This window comes from Homo sapiens, chromosome 6 (genome assembly GCF_000001405.40).
Source record: "Homo sapiens chromosome 6, GRCh38.p14 Primary Assembly".
In the NCBI taxonomy this organism is placed as follows: Eukaryota; Metazoa; Chordata; class Mammalia; order Primates; family Hominidae; genus Homo; species Homo sapiens.
In genome coordinates, this window is record NC_000006.12 from 146727635 (window position 1) to 146745152 (window position 17518).

The window sequence follows — 17518 nt, forward strand, 5'->3', positions numbered from 1 at the left end:
AGCTCAAGTCCAAGAAGCAAAAGAGAATAGACTGACCCAAGGGCAGAGAGACTAATGCTACTTAGAACCATAATTGATCCTATCTAATATTTGACCAGAGAACTTTTCTGGGCATGGTTTCACCTTAGGGAGAAACACCACTGAGATGAAACTTTCTGTAGGCTTTGTGAGGATTCTAAGTCAGTGTGTTCCAGTAACGAGTCAGTTGCATCTGCTTCCATCAGTTTCTCACCCTAGCAAGGCATCTGTGCTTCAGGTGCACTTGCTGGGCCATTCCTCAAAATTTCAGGAGAGAATCGGGAATCATGATTGCACCATGGTGCCCTCTAAGGGGAAAAAAGTTGTTTTGTTTTGTTTTGTTTTTTCCAATTTTACTTTTTTCATGCTGCTTCCAGGCAACTCCAGGACCACCCACCGTACACCAACCACAACAGCTCCAAACACCTCACAGTTTTCTCCAGTTTTTAAAAATTAGTTACTTCCTGAAATTCCTGTCTCCTTCTTGCTTTATGATTTTTTTTAAGAGTTGATAGCAGGAGAGAGCCACCAGCCCATGCTAGGTCACCCTCTTGTCTTTATCTTTCTGGCTTTCTCCCTGAAATCTCTGTTCGTCAGTCCTCAAACTCCACACAGTTTTTTGTCAGACTAATCCTAAATGTCCTCAGAACTAGGTCTGGTTATTAATACGGTGGGGGAAATTTTACGTGATCCCCAATATGAGATGAATATTCCTCCTACAGGTTCCCACTCAGGTAAGAATTGCGTTCCTTGTTTTTTCTGAGACTACAGAATTTAGTAAAGCTACCTTGATATCAAATCCTCTATAAAGAATTATTGAATCATATAGCAGAGATTTCATATTTTAACAGATATTAATTTGTATAAACTAGATGACACTTAAGGATGAGTGAGGATGGCTGCCATGCTTTGTCTTCACAGGAGAGCTGCCGATTTACGGAACAGTCTCTGTTGATTATGAAAGCTATTGGAAATGTGATTGCTAATTTCAAAGATAAGGGTAAACTCTCTGCAGCTTTGAAGGATCTGCAAACAGCTCACTACCCTGTCCCCTTCCATGATAAAGAACTAACTGCACAGCACTTCAGGGTAAGCTTGTTTGGGATACAATGTTCAGAAGAGGAAACTTTCTTTTCAAAATGGTATATCTTCCATTAGGTGACCTCCCAAATCAGAGCCAGAGAAAATATTTTGGATGGAGATAATATATTTGGGAAGTGATTTCAGAAAGCAGAAATGAGGGAGTAAAAAGAATGAAATGAGAAAGAGAAAGAAATTGATTAAAGGACATGACAACTACTGCTGTGGCTTACTGGAAATCAGCTATGCAGGGTGTCCTGAGGAACTATGTGGGACATCCCTTTAAAAGTTCCCACTCAAGGAGGGCAAGATGGTGGTGCTTCTCCACCAACTCTTTTCCCCACTGTTAGGTGGTTGCTCTCAAGGGCTTTGACTTCCTCACACTTACAACGTGTGCCTCTGCCAGGCTGAGCAGCATTCTAGCTTCACAGGCAGCCTTGAGGGGGTGAAGCAAAGAGACTTCCTGGTAACCCCTTCACAAGGCACATATGGACCTGTCCACTGCAGCTGCACTAAAACCAGGTGGGCTTAGGTCTGGCTTTTTAACACTCACACTATTGACATTTTGGGTCAAATAATTATTATTCTCTCTTCTTCAATTTTATTTGGAAGAGATTTAGAAAGATTTGTATTAGTTCTTCTTTAAATGTTTTGTAAAATTCAGCAGAAAAGCCGTCAGGTCATGTACTTTTATTTGATGGGAGACTTTCTCTTTTTTCAAGAGATGGGGTCTTGCTCTGTCACCCAGGCTGGCTTGCAGCAGCATGATCATAGGTCATTGCAGCCTGAACTCCTGGGCTCAAGTGATCCTCCTGTCTTACCCTCCCAAGAGGCTAGGACTACAGGCATGCACCACCACACCTGGCTAATTAAAAATAAACAAACAAAAATTGAAGAGATGGGGTCTCACTATATTGCCTATGGTGGTCTTCAGCTCCTGGCTTCAAGCAATCCTCCTGGCTTAGCCTCCCAAAGTTCTGGGGTTAGAGGCATCAGCATTGCGCCTGGCCAACATGGGATACTTGTTATTACTAATTTAATATTACCTGTATATGTCTAGGAATTTGTCCTTTTCTTCTGGGTTATCCAACTTGTTGGCATATCATTTTACATAGTAGATTCTTATGATTCTTTGTATTTCTGCAGTTCGTTTGTAATGCCCTGTAGGATGTTTAATAGCATCTCTGGTCTCCACCCTTTAAACACCTGTAGATTCCAGTTGTGACAACTGAAAAAGACTTCAGACATTGCTAGATGCCCCTGCAGGGAGGGGTAGCATTGCCAGATTTAGCAAATACAAATACAGGACACCCAGTTAAATTCTATTTTGCGTGTAAACAAACCATATGTGCAATATTTAGGACAGAAGTATACTACTGTCCTAGTATACTTCTAAAATTACTTACATAATTACTTATAAAATTACTTATATAAAAATTTATTTTATCCATTATTCAAACTTGACTGGGTGCTTGGGGTTCTTGAGGAAATATAACTAGAAATAAAATCTCCCAACCTAGATGACCTGTTCACAAGGCAGAAGAAAAGGAAAACAATTTACTGTTGAATGAAGTTTAAGCCAGAAGATGGTGCACATCACAGACAATCTGCTAAGAGATTGCAAAGACAAAAACAAACAAAAAATCTTACCCCAAGCAGATACAGCCCATTTCACACATACCATCAAGATAAGCAATATGTAGTCTTCAAGGAAAAGACTCCATATCACCTCTTGCCACACAACATATTTCATCCCAAATTCACTTGGTATAGGGGTGACCATCTGTGTTAGGTAATTAGCTTTGTCTAAAAGAAAAATACAATTGTAACACCTTCATATCAGCAAGGTACCTACCAATGGTAGTCTCCTACTCTCCCAAAGAAACTTGGAAATACTGGTGCTATCTTCCATGATGATTAACATTTCAAATAAATGGTACTCAGGTCCTGGACAAAAACATTCCTGGGCTATTAAATGGGCAAGAGGCTTATTTAGCTTTTTAGAAAGATGTACTGGCCAACGTGGTGAAACTCCATCTCTACTAAAGATAGAAAAATTAGCCAGGTGTGGTGGTGGGCACCTGTAATCCCAGCTACTTGGGAGGCTGAGGCAGGAGAATTGCTTGAACCCGGGAGGCAGAGGTTGCAGTAAGCTGAGATCACGCCATTGCACTCCAGCCTGGGCAACAGGAGCAAAACTCCATCTCAAAAATAAATAAATAAGATTTACATACATTTCTGAGAGAGAGAGAGAGGAACAGAGAGAGATAACTTATCATTACAAGTGTCCTAAATGTAAATGCTCTAAGGCAAAGGATGTGGGGGAGCAACCTCTTTCCTTATTTTTCGTAGGGAGTGATTAAGCCCCTTACTTTTTAATTTGTACTTCCCCTTACAGTGTAATGTATTTAACTGGCAATGCTGCCTGAGGCGCAGATCAACCCCAGTTGAGAACTACTCACCTACAGCATGAGAGTAATATACAAGAAATATTTGCCATAATTCACCTGTAGAACAAGTCTGATAGTGCCCCCACCCTTAAGTAAACTCTTATCCATTCTTCAAGTTGGTAGCTGGTCACAAGGTCTAAAATTAAACAAATAAATAATTAAATCACCATATGACAAAAAAAAAAAAAGCTATAGTCTCTACAGCTACCACTGGCCTTGAGGCCGCAATCCGTATTCAACACCTGTCTCCTCTACCACCCATTCTAGATGGCCTTGTTTTGCAGCCAGTTCTAGTTGTTTACCTGGTGAGTGATCCAGACTCTCCATCCTGATGGGTGCAGGATCTTGGCTACCTTACTGTAGCCAAGCCATGGTTGCTGCAATTACTCATTTACCATGGAAGCATTAAAAAGTGTCCCAGCAAGTTTCAGACTAAATTCTCCCTGCTCCCTCAATGTAGCAGAAACCCTAATACCTCATGATAATCAATGTGAATTCTCCTCCTACCGTGTTATATTAACTCCTTTTTTTCTGCTTATCCACCAAGATGAGAGGCCCAAAGCAACCACACATATGTCATAGTTTAGTTTTATTGTAAATAATACCATATTCCCTGGTGGAATTATCCCTTGTTTTCTTCCCTCAAGAAATGTGTTCTGAAATCTAGCAAACCCGTTATTGTGGGGGAATCGGGCACGGAGTCTGCAAATGGGTCATGTCAGATGATGGGGAGAGAGGCCAATCTTACTTGCAACTTTTGAATCTCAGGCCTGTGTGTTTTAACTATGCAGATACAGCACCAGATATTGGTCTTTGGTTCCATATGTACGTACTTCAAGTGACATCTCCAGGCTGGCTTTTTAACCGAGCCTCCTATGTGTCATTGCAATCTACCAGGAATTTTATCAATTCTATGTATGGTATATATTAGGACCAACATGTTCCAGACTATTCTCAGTGATTAAATCTTTATAATGCAACTCTTGATCCACGGGTATGTTAGCTGAATCCCATGTTTATAAACCAGATTTTCTATAACCTCTTGGATGCTGGCCGAGGTACCAAGGACACAGAAAGCAAACTCATAGCTGAAGCAGGAGTCAATTCTTGTAAGGAATCGGTGACCCACCTAATGGAAGTCTAGTCCACTGAAAGCAATTTGCCACCAAGTAACTGACTGGACTTCTCAGGGGACTATACCATATCAAAGACCAGAGTCAGTTTCTGCTGCGGGTAGGTTAGATGACTGAGCCTGGATGAAAGAGAGCCCAGGTGGTTGGTTCACCATTTCATGCTACCAAGATTACTCCTCACGGGCTCAATGTAGCTGGCCCTGATTTAATATGTAAGGGGTCTTGGTGAATGAATCACTTATGCAAAAGGAAGCTATTTTGGTAAAAAAAAAAAATCTCCATTTTATACTTAGATAATTACACAACTATGTGACATATGATGAAAAAGCTTTGTTTAAATAAGTCTAAAAGTTTTTTCAATATGAGGTTAGTACTACTATTAAGTGATTAAAAAAACTCTAAGAAACATATTTTCATTTTATGTAGCATATGAAATAATAGTGTGTCTTACAATGGATGGCATCTTAGAATCAATAAAATAAGCTATTTAACTTGCTTAAGCAGAAGGATAATGCTATTTTTTTTACCTTATTCTTTACCTCCTCTACCAGTTTAATGCTGTATTTTCATTGAGTCTATATTATAAACGTTGTAGTGATTACATTTTGTTAAATTAGAAATAATCAAATGATAATTTTGGTCTCTTACTGGGCAGGTGAGACTTCAAAGAATCTTCTGTTAGGTTGCGTGTACATCTGAGAAATGGTTTTTATTTTTTATTTTTAGAGTATCTAAAAATTTTTTAGAGCTTCTCTGGCCAGATGATGGTATTTTCTTGCTATAAAAAAAATTTATGTGTTTCAGGTTTTTCATCTTTCCTTATGGCGTTTAATGAAAAAAGTTCAAATAACAAAACCTCCTCCAAACTTCAAATTTGCATTCCGGGCTATGGTTTTGGACTTGGAGTTACTCAATTCCTCCTTGGAAGAGGTTTCTTTAGGTACCCATGAATTGTATATATTTAATCAAGGAATTCCTAGTTTTAAGTAAGGTAAATAATTTAAGAAATGTGTTTGTGGAGTAAGTGGAATAAGTCTGTGTGGACTGTCATGGAGTTCAAGCAGTGCTCTAAGAGCTCAAGGGGCTCCAAGGACCTGCTGGGGATCCCCTACCCCTAATCCCCACCACATATACTTCTAGGGGAGTGTCTTACAGGGGAGAATTTCCCTGTTTTATTTACTCCTAACCTTAAAAATATGGAAGTCACTAATCTATATGGTTTGATTTGAAGAATTCTGGCAAGATCCTCTGACTCAAGTAACCCTACTTTTCTCTCTTCTTCCCATGCTCTGCTCTCATCATTTTAACATGTCTTTTATTTTTGAGAAAAATCTCTGGCTATATTCACACAGGAATCAATAGTAGTTCACCAATATGTCCCTATTTTGTGTGTTTTCCCTCCTGCAGAATATTTACATTCTAACAAGAACCACCTAGAGCCGGCAATATTAAATATGATGCTAACTCTTGCAATGTAGAATTTTATATGTTGGAGGGCTTTGGCAGCTGAAGGCGTTGAAACTTAGGGAAGGGATTAAATATAACTTTCAGTCCAAAGTTTGTTTTTCCCTTTCCAGTGGAATGGCTGGACGTTAAATATTGTATGCCCACAAGTGATAAAGAGTATTCTGCTGAGGAAGTAGCAGCAGCAATTAAAATTCAAGCCATGTGGAGAGGAACTTACGTTAGATTGCTTATGAAAGCCAGAATACCAGGTATGATTGTCCAAACATTTATAAAATGAACTTGTTTGTATAAGAATAAATATTTATGTGTGTTAATGAAAGTATTTTGGAGTCCCCCACTTTATGGCTAATTAATTTCAGTCCTCTAAATAATGAAATTATTTGAAATCAGGAAGCATGTCCAATGCACCAAGTGTCTTGTTCCCAGGATTGGCACAGTGCCTGGTGCATCATAAGCACACAATAAATACTTGCTGAAAGAATGAGTGAAAAAATGAATGCATTATCAGCTTTGTTTTCCCAATCTATTGCAAGTTCTTTTAAAACAGGGAACTGGTCTTTTTCTGTATATATCCCAAGTAGCTAGCACCTGTGCTACCTCAGTCAGCCTCAGCTAAGTCATAGATATTTTCACATTTCCAGATGATTTTTCAAACAAATGAGTGAATAATTAAGTGAATGAATAAACTAATGCATAATAAAGAAGCCACTATGTATGTCCATAGTGACACACATCTAGAAGGCATAAAATGCATGTTAAGTGTGTTCTTAAATTTATTAAATCAGATACATCTATGTATATGAAATAAAATCTTTTTGCCAATAGGCCAGTTTTATCAGCTTAAAATAAAACATGGCAGATGCAAAACTTATATTCAAGCACTTTGGGAGGCTGAGGGGGGCAGATTGCTTGAGCTCTGGAGTTCAACACCAGCCTGGGCAACATGGGGAAACCATGTCTCTACAAAAAATATAAAAATTAGCCAGGCATGGTGGCATGTGCCTGTAGTCCCAGCTACTTGGAAGGCAGAGGTGGGAGGATTACTTGAACCCAGGAGGTGGTGGTTGCAGCGAGCCTGAGCCAAGATCACACCACTGCACTCTAGCCTGGGCGACAGGGTGAGATCTTGTCTCAAAAAAACAAAAAACAAAAAATATATATTCAATTATTTTCATTCTGTGGTTTTTGCTGACATTTTGATAGGAGAAGCCTTACCTCCAATAGAATTCTTTACATATATTGAAAAACTTTCTTGTAAAAAAAAAAGAATCTATTTAAAACATTTAATGATAATATTTAAAATGTTTAAGCAGTAAAAACGTCAGATACACAATGGTTTAAAAACCCTAAATTACATAGTTTAATGATAGTTGTCTAATTCAATGGGTTTTTTCCTCATTACAAAACATATGCATTCGTCAAACTCAATATAGGATGTCTTGCTTCATTTTGTGCTGCTATAATGGAATACCAAAGACTGGGTTATTTATAAAGAACAGAGATGTATTTCTTACAGTTCTGAAGGCTGGAAAATCCAAAATCAAGGGGTTTGCATCTGGACAGAGCCTTTATCCCATGAGGAAGGTGGCAGGGCGAGAGAGCACATTCATGAAAGAGAGAGAGAGAGATAAAGGAGGGATAGAGAGAGCCAGAACTCATCTTTTTATCAGGAAGCCACTTCTGAGATAACTAACACACTCTTTCGATAATCACATTAATTCATTCATAAGGGCATAGCCCTCATGAGCTAATCACCTCTTAAAGGTTCCACTTCTCAATGCTGTTACTTTGGGAATTAAGTTTCTAACACATAAAGTTAGGGAAATATATTCAAACCATGCATATGGTAAAATATGCTTTTATTGTCCATATATGTTGTAAAAATTTACATATAATGATTTTACTTCCCTTTTTAGAGACTGAAAATATGGGCAATTTAGTAATGTACTTCATAGAGTTTGTGTTCAACTATTCAAAATGTTTTTTAAATGGTGTTTGCATTTTTTTCACTCAACATATATTTATTGAATAACTCTTGATTGCATGGCAATGTTACATATTTTGGCCTTATAGCAGTCAATGAAACAGACAAGGTTTCTACTCTGATGAATCTTGTATTCTAGTGAGAGTAAGCATATAATAGACAAGTAAATATATGAAGATATCAATTTCAGATGCTGGTAAATACTATGAAGAAATTAAGATAGGATAATTAGAAAAAGAATGTTAGTTTCTGATACAGTAAATTTGAGGCTGTTAATAAGGATTCACATTTTCTTGGCAAATTATCTACTTTTAAACCATTTGCAGATAATGCAGTAGATTGAGATCTAATAAAATCCTATTAGCCATTTTTCTTTACAAAAATTGGATGGATTACTTTTTCTGAGATAAGATCTGTCACAAAAAAAGTTTTAGTGTGACAGAGGTCTCCTTATGTAAACACTTTGATGACTATCTTAAATTAGGTCAAGCAATATTCTAAAACTTTAAATTAAAGATGAAGGGAAACAGCATAACACGGTGAGCAGAGCTCTTGACTAGAAGTTTGTAGCTCATATTTTAAACCTGAGTTTTCTGCTAATGAAGCCTATGACTTTGAATACCATCTTACTTGTGAGTTTCAACTTCATTTGTGAAAATGAAGGCTTTGGACAAGATGATCTTTCAGGCATCTTAAAGCTTAACGTTTTTATTATTTATTATTATTTTTAGACACAAAAGAAAATATCAGTGTTGCAGATACTCTTCAAAAAGTTTGGGCTGTATTGGAAATGAATTTAGAACAGTATGCAGTTTCTCTCTTAAGGTAAAGCAGTCAAATGATATTTTTATTGCAGTATATTGTCCTTTTGTCAAAGTCCAGTTTGAATACTACCATATTTGTTGAGAGCGCCCCAGTCACTGCAGCTAGAACCACACCATTACTTCGGACCTTCCACAATATTTTATCTGAAACATTTCTATGGTACTTGCTACTTTTTGTTTATGTTTTAATTGCACATAACTAAAATTCTAAGCAGAAAACCTCTAGGAGCAGAACAAAGTTTCCTTAAATCTTACGGTACTGAGAAGACAAAAATTAAAGTTTAGGACCTGGTAGCGGATGAGATCCCAGTCAACAAATAGTCAGATGAAATCCTTGGAGGACAACACTTTCTAAACAGGGACAAGGCAGAGGTAGATCGAACCTTAAAAAAACTGCATTCTAGCCATAACTCATGTCCAACAGTCAAGCTAACCTGAAAAAAACAGAAAAAAATTACACACCCACTCACCTCCCCGCCAATATATATACACACCATACATTATGGAAAATATGTGGAACCATACCCTCTGGTGATGTAGATTTCAGAGGTGGCAGAAAAAAAAAACCTCTAAACATGACTGTTATGAAAATGAGCAAGAAAATAAATAATAAAAAAGAGAAAATAGATGAAAAGTTTGAGAATTTAATAAAACACAGACAAATGGAAAGTACGTCAATGAACATTTTAATAACCAAAATTAGGAACTCATTGATGAATTTAACCACAGATTAGGCATAGTAGAAGAAGAGTTTAGTGAACTGGGTAATATGTCAATAAAAAGTATCCCAAGTGAAGCTAAGAGAAAATGAATGGAAAATAGCGTAAGGGACTTGTGGGGTATTCTCAGAAATCTTAGTGTGTAAGTAATTGGAGTGACAGAAGGTACAAAGATAACAGGTGAGAACTTTCCAAAACTGATAAAAGACATCAATTTACATTTTCAAGAGACTCTACAGACCCCATGCAGATTACTTGATTAACCTTTACTCCAGAACCCATTTCCTAAAAGGGCTACACTTTTGCCTAAAGTTTTAATTGTATGAATGCACATAAGGAGCACAAACCCTCTTTTCCAACCTGCTTTTGTATTTTGGGGCTACCAGGAGGAGATCTCTAGGTCAGATCCTACACCTAATTTTCATGAAAATGATGTGCTAAAAAGTGAGTGTCCCTATTAGGGAATAGGATCAGTACACCAGGGAGGTGTAACACTAGCATAATACCTTCAGGGGATTGTTGTTCTTCTCCATGTGATCTTTCCACTACAGCCAAGACCATTTCATGGAATCTCAGCTCATATCTGATACAGAGGCCATGCTCTTTCAATGCTTTGAGTTCTACATACACATTTCTTGGACAGATAAAACCAAAAAGTCTGTTATTTAAACTCAAATGCCAGTGGCATCCAAAGCTACCTTATCCTAGCAGGCATTAATTTTATGGTTAAGAACACGTAATTTGACACAAGACCTGAAGCTAACCCCAGCTCTACTAATTATTGTTATCTAAGATAAGATTCTTATCCTCTCTAAACTTAATTTTTATATGTAGCATAGGGATATCTACTGTATAGTACTATTCCCTCATAAATCTGTAAAGATAAATTAAGGTAGACAGGAAAAGTACTTAGCACAATGCCACATATTGAATTATTACAGAAAAGTAGCCACTGTAAACATTGGTATTGTCATTACTACTACATGTGGAACTTTGAGGTTCTGAAGCCTAGCCTTTCATTCTCAACTCTGAAGGGGAAGAACTTCCCCCAAGTCAATTTGGGGAAGACTGAGTTTACCAATTTATGATTTAGTCTTAAGATTGAATCCCATTCGAATCCCATTTCATCTTTTTTTTTTTTTTTTTTTTTTTTTTTTTTAGATGGAGTCTCGCTGTGTCACCCAGGCTGGAGTGCAGTGGCACGATCTGGGCTCACTGCGAGCTCCACCTCCTGGGTTCACGCCATTCTCCTGCCTCAGCCTCCCTAGTAGCTGGGACTACAGGTGCTACCACCATGCCCAGCTAATTTTTTGTATTTTTAGTAAAGACGGGGTTTCACCGTGTTAGCCAGGATGGTCTCGATCTCCTGACCTCGTGATCCACCTGCCTCCGCCTCCCAAAGTGCTGGGATTACCTGGGATTACAGGCGTGAGCCACTGCGCCCGGCCGAATCCCATTTCATCTTAACAATTCAATCCAATTGTGTGGACGCACACAGAGAGAACAGACCCTCTTATACAAGTTGCTTCTGCATTGTGGGGCCTATCATAGGAAAATCTGTGGGTGAGATCTTGCACCCAATTTTCTTGCAAATGATGTCTAAAAAACAAACTCCCCTATGAGGGCATCGTATCAGATAAAAATCTGACTAAATTGAAACTAATTCTTAATTAAGACTAAATCTTCCAACTCAGTCAGGTATATCACCCTGGGTCATTCAAAATATTCTATATAGCTCATCAGGATTTTGATGGCCCTACATTCATTAAACGGGTAGAATGTTTAAGGGGAACAGTGACAGTCTGGGAAGACTGGAAATCACACTCTTATTTTAGAATGGTGGCAGGTCCTGTTACAGTCAATTCCCACTGTGACCAGCTTAATTCCCATGTTGGTTGAGCCAACATCCTTGTATAGATTAGGCCAGCCCTGTGTGATTTACAGGGGTGTCATGCATTGACAGACCTGCACTTTATAGCTCCTACTTAGAATTATCATACCATTGATCATCCAAACTAGGACATTGACAAGAAAAGATGGAGAACTGTTAATAATTAGGCCTGTAATAATTAGGACTGTAATAAATAGTTAATAATTAGGACTGTAAGTATAAACCACAGCTATCCCAGGCAAACCAGGATAGATGGTTACCCTATTATTTGTCTTTGTCACCATTTTAAAAGGCCTTTCAAACCCCTTCCAAGTATAATCCTGTTAGTTTCCTCCTACCAAAAGCCTATGATCAACAAAAACCAATGATAAAATGGAGTATGTGACTTTTGTCTTCCATGAGGACCACCATGGCTTTGCTTTCCACTGACAATCGATGAAAACATCTGCCTTCTGGAAGACAAGAACACCTCTGGCTCTGTCTAGACCTCTAAAAGAGAACCATTTGCTATGGCCATAATGCTTCCATCCCAGCTAATACCTGAGACATCATATAAAGGGCCTTATATTCCCAGTGCTATAAAGGGCACATCCAGTTTCTGGCAGAATAGGAGGGATAAGACCTGGAAAATCCATCACATCATCACTCCCATTATGTTCTGGAATATGTCACAGCCTTCCAGGGGGAAAACGTGGAGAAACCTCAGCTCCATAATTAGTTTAGCAGTGTATGCTCTACTCCCTTATACACTCAGAAATCATGCAGGAGGAAAGCCAGCACTCTCCACTTGCGCATAGCCTTAAATTTTTAAAATCTATTTTTCCAAACGTATTTCTCACTTTAAACTCCATTTCAGTCTCCATTCTCTCTACTTCAATTCCAGGCCCTTCAGTGACTCTCACCCAGTTTTGTTGCTGGTTTGCTTGCTTCTAGTTTTTCTATCCTTATAGCTTCAACTTTGGTTCTGGTTTTCCCCCTGTAAACTTTACTCCCTCAATCATGAATCATGTTTCCTTTGAGAGCCTCAGATAACCTTGGGCACCTTTGACAGACATCTTTTGTGATTAACCTAGAATGGGTCCCCTTCTCTTGGCACCATGTATCAGGGACTACACAGACCCCCTTTGATCAAGATCTCAATCTAGCCAACAATGACTTGCAATATCTTATACTATTTTTTGTCATTTCTTTTTGTAAATAGAGTTTATCTTTAAAGTGGCTTTTGCCATTGATACATAATTTATTTTTATATTTCTAGACTAATGTTTAAAAGCAAGTGCAAGTCTTTGGAATCTTATCCATGCTATCAAGATGAAGAAACTAAGATTGCTTTTGCAGATTATACTGTGACTTATCAAGAACAGCCACCAAATTCTTGGTTTATAGTATTCAGGTGAGGTTGTTATATAGTGACAAATATGTCTCTAAATGGCTTGCAATATCTGTATTTATGAATATTTCTGATAGTAGTAAAGGTATTAGCTTCTGGGTTGCTTTCATAAGTTAGTTAAAATTCTTCCACACTTGGCATTTTAAATGAGATATTATAGAAATTTTTATCTATTCTTTTCATCAAAATATGAAGAATGTTTAGTAATTATTAGAAGCTTTTATGTTCATGATAAAAATACTATAACAAATTAATATGCTTTTAGTATAGAAAAAGATCCTTTAATTTCTAAGCAATAGCATATTTGGTAAAAGTCACAAATTACTTATAAAATTGATTTTTTAATAGAGTTTGCGTTTACTTGACAAAATAACATATTAATAGTAATTTTTAAAAGAAAATAATATGTGTGCCTTTTAGTTATTTGGAACTTTGGATTTTTAAAAAAATTTCTTGGCATTAATGCAAATTTCAAACTTCCTTTAAGAATTCACATCAAGGGAAAGTTCATGCTTTTGTAATTACAGAGAAACATTTTTGGTTCATCAAGACATGATTTTGGTTCCCAAAGTATATACTACACTTCCAATCTGTATCCTACACATTGTTAATAATGACACAATGGAGCAAGTGCCAAAGGTGTTCCAAAAAGTGGTGCCTTATCTTTATACCAAGAATAAGGTAGGTATAAAATTTATTCTCCACATATGATAGAATGGCAGTGAAAAGCTACCAGCTTGTAGAGGGTCCTGAAGGGAGGGTAGAGTTGTTTTTAATCTACTTAACAGACAAATAAGGCCCTGATCTTTCACTATAGAAGTCCCATATATTTAACAGTAGGAGATATTAAATGTAAGTGCTAAAGCATTCTTTACCTCTCAACGCTCTTTCTTCTTCTTCCGAAAGAAAATATGACAAAAAGAAAGCATTAGAAATTCTAATTATTGAAATTTAAGAAACATATAAATGCTTAAAATAGAAATGAATCTAAAGAGCTCCTTTAGCCTTATCCCAAAACCAAATCATATGATTATCTTTGTTTCCCACTGGGTTTTTATTCTACTCCTGTATATTTCAGAAAATTGTAGTTACATAGCCACCAACCATCACCACCTCATTTTGAGAGCTAAATAAATTGCTTTACCAGCCAGAGGTACTTGGGGACCTTACTGTGGCTAAATGATAGACCCTGATCTCTGACCTTCACTCAAACCACATTGCTTCTCTGTTTATTCAAACCTCATATTTGTCTTTTCAGTCATTTCCTCTAAGAGAGAATCACAACAAATGATAATGTATACCTAGCTGGATATGAAGAGGGCTGTTTTAGCTCTGGTCTTCCTTTCTGCAGCTTTATGTCTTTAAACCTCTTCATTTTTCTTTTTGAGTTATGTCTGTACTTGACTTCTGAGATTCATTTCAGCCTATGATTCTATACATTATTTTGTGTAAATTAGAACATACTTATCTCATGAATACTGCTTTTGTATAAATGAAGGATACATTTAAAAATGTATTAACTCCATAAAAATCCTAATAGCTCTTTCATGCTGTCTTAGAGATTTTAGGAAACATTTTAAAAATAAGGGCAATTAAATTTTCGATGAAATTACTTAACCCCATTGATACATATGTGTGTATATGTGTATATTATATACATATATAATCTGTTTTCTTGAAAGATTTTTTACCATTTTATTATAATTAGAAGTTGTATATGTTTCATTAAACCCTTAGCATATTTTTCTATCATTTTTAATAAGACAGATTTTTTATATTACAATCAGATTTTATTAAATTTGATATTATCAAATTGTAACTTAAGCTTAAATTATTTTTATTTTGCATTAAATTTGGCAAATTTAACATTTACATTTTATAAGCAAATCTGATAAACATCAGTATTTTTGTGCAGTTATCTATATTTGGAATTATACACCTAAGCATAATTTTTAAAAACTCACTTGATTAAAGTCAATGCATCAATATATTATTTTTACTTATTGTTTTTGTTAATTACCTTGAAAGGGCATTTACATATCACTTAAAAACAGAATACTTTGCTAATAAAAATTCAATTCCTGTACATCAGACATGTATTTACAAACTTTATTTGACCCACACAATTTCCTTTTATACTATATTTATTCTTCCCCATGTTCTAATAAATGATATCTCTAAACCAAGCTTGTCCAACCTGCGGCCCATAGGCTGCGTGCTGCCCAGGGTGACTTTAAATATATCCCAACACAAATTCGTAAACTTTCTTAAAACACTATGAGATATTTTTGTGATTCTTTTTTTTTTAAGCTTCTGAGTTTAGTTAGTGTTAGTGCATTTTATGCATGGCCCAAGACAATTCTTCCACTGTGGCCCAGGGAAGCCAAATATTGGAAACCCCTCCTCTAAACCTGACCTTTCTGCAGCAGAATGCCTTGGGTTAAACCAAACTACAGAGCTAGTTCTTCACGAACAAATTTGTCCACACACCAGTAGATGATTTTTTGAATGTTTGTTTTTAAAGTTTGAGTTAGACTTCCTTTTGAATAGAAACAGTTTATTTAATTTGTGATTAGAATTCAAAAGTCACAAAGATTAAGAGGAAGAAGATGATTTAATTTAAAGGGAGACTATCAAGGTTATAGATGTCATCAAATTCTAGCAATGAATTTTGTATTACTAGATAAATATACTAATGCTAGTCTTGAATACTTCATTTTGGAAGAGACCTTTAAAGAATATTTGGTTGAACCAAGTACGAATCTGATTATTATTTACATCTAGCATACCTCCTTGGGTTGGGATGGGTTTGGTTTTTGTTTTAGAAACTCCATTGTAGACATCCCTCTCTAGATTAAACTTGAATTTTTCGGATAGTTCTAAGTGATACATTTTGAGTCAACGTTCAGAAGAACATTCCAGCTCCACTTAACTATTATTTTTAAGTTGTAAATTGAGATTGCAGCAAACATACTTCCTGTCTCATATTTTATCTCTTCTGCCCTCTCACTCTAGCCAGCTCTGTTTAGAAAAAAAGTTAAGGCCGGGCGCAGTGGCTCATGCCCATAATCCCAGCACTTTGGTAGGCCAAGGTGGGTGGGTCATCTGAGGTCAGGAGATCGAGACCAGCCTGGCCAACACGGCAAAAGCCTGTCTCTACTAATAATACAAAAATTAGCCAGGCGTGGTGGCGTGCGCCTGTAGTCCCAGCTACTAGGGAGGCTGAGGCAGGAGAATCACTTGAACCCAGAAGACAGAGGTTGCAGTGAGCCGTGATCACGCCACTGCTTTCCAGCCTGGGTGACAAGAGCGAAACTCCATCTCCAAAAAGAAAAAAGTTAAAAGTGGAGAAATGCGGAGGAGTATGTCAAGCTGTGTGAATAGAAAAAGAGCTTAATTGGACCCTTTTGTGCTGCAGTTTTCCTCTCTTCATAATTCTTGATCTTTGAACATTTATCCAAACAACCTTTGTCCCTGCTAAAATGTGGTTCCCAGAACTGAATGCTGCCTCTGAAAGTAATTCTGACCCACAAAACATAAAGAGGTTCATTGCTCCATTGTTTTGTACCCTGTGATTGCATCAGTCTTTGGGTACCTACAAGGCATGTTGATATGGTGGACTCAAGAGACACCTCAAGAGAGAACATCTTTGGCCGACTAGATAATGTCTAAAACTGTATTGAGCAGTTGTATAACTTAGCAATCTTAGGTGGGAATTTTGTGGCTAATTCTGCCCAGCAGGCTCATCCAGAGGCATCCTGACCCATACGAAATTCACCAGAGGCCTTGACATATGCCTGCCCGAAATTCATAAACACCATGTATGCAACTTTTACCTGATGTTGTGTCTTCTAATCTTATGAAAAAAGTAAATAAGTTTTGTTTCCAATAAACTCATGCTGGCTTTAAGAATAGGTTTTATCTTTGAGGTTCACATGAGACATGCTTTTTATGAGCTGCGGCAGAACTTTGATAAGCACTATTATTAAACTTACTAATCTGTGGTTTGCAGAGTATATATTCTTCTTAAGTTTGAAAAATCAGAATTGTTTGCTCTATTTTTTTTCATAAATACTCAAGACCATACACTGTAATTCAGAATACTAGTCTGTGGGATTCCTCGATACTCAGTACTCGATTATATAAATGTTTTACTACTGAATCCATTTAGAATAGCCAAGTTCTGTCCTATAATCCTATCACTGATTTAGCTTTGGATTTTCACTTACCAATATCTAATCCCACCATTTAATAACTTTTTCCTTTATAATCATTCTGAGTCTGAGCAAAAACAAAATAATTTTGCTTTGCCTCTTTAATTCAGTAGTACAATGAACTCAAATAATAATAAAAATATCAATACATATGTGCATTACCCTTTGCCAGTAAAAATGCTTTATTATACATTTTTTTTACTTGCCCCAAACATGATGTCATAAAGTCCTTACTGGTGTTGCAATTCTCATCTCATTATGGGGACTGGAATTCCAGCTAATATTTCTAGATGTGTATGAAACTTTTAAAAAATTCATTCTGGCTTATATATATCTAATTTTTACTTC

General features: G+C 36.8%; 1 protein-coding gene and 1 long non-coding RNA gene across 2 annotated transcripts in view; one reads left to right on the forward strand and one right to left on the reverse strand.

The window, feature by feature from the left end:
- The window catches only part of ADGB (androglobin), a 216491-nt gene that overhangs the window by 128663 nt on the left and 70310 nt on the right, over positions 1 to 17518 (forward strand). Inside the window, exons 20-25 of the mRNA NM_024694.4 lie at positions 940 to 1107; positions 5486 to 5621; positions 6259 to 6396; positions 8864 to 8957; positions 12825 to 12959; positions 13484 to 13637. Of these exons, the coding sequence (NP_078970.3) occupies positions 940 to 1107; positions 5486 to 5621; positions 6259 to 6396; positions 8864 to 8957; positions 12825 to 12959; positions 13484 to 13637 (825 nt within the window). The remainder of the gene's footprint in view (positions 1 to 939; positions 1108 to 5485; positions 5622 to 6258; positions 6397 to 8863; positions 8958 to 12824; positions 12960 to 13483; positions 13638 to 17518) is intronic.
- The window catches only part of LOC105378040 (uncharacterized), a 39913-nt gene continuing 26001 nt past the window's right edge, over positions 3607 to 17518 (reverse strand). Inside the window, exons 2-4 of the long non-coding RNA XR_943093.2 lie at positions 9245 to 9390; positions 7663 to 7714; positions 3607 to 3684 (exon numbers count right to left, since the gene is read on the reverse strand). This is a non-coding gene — a long non-coding RNA (uncharacterized LOC105378040). The remainder of the gene's footprint in view (positions 3685 to 7662; positions 7715 to 9244; positions 9391 to 17518) is intronic.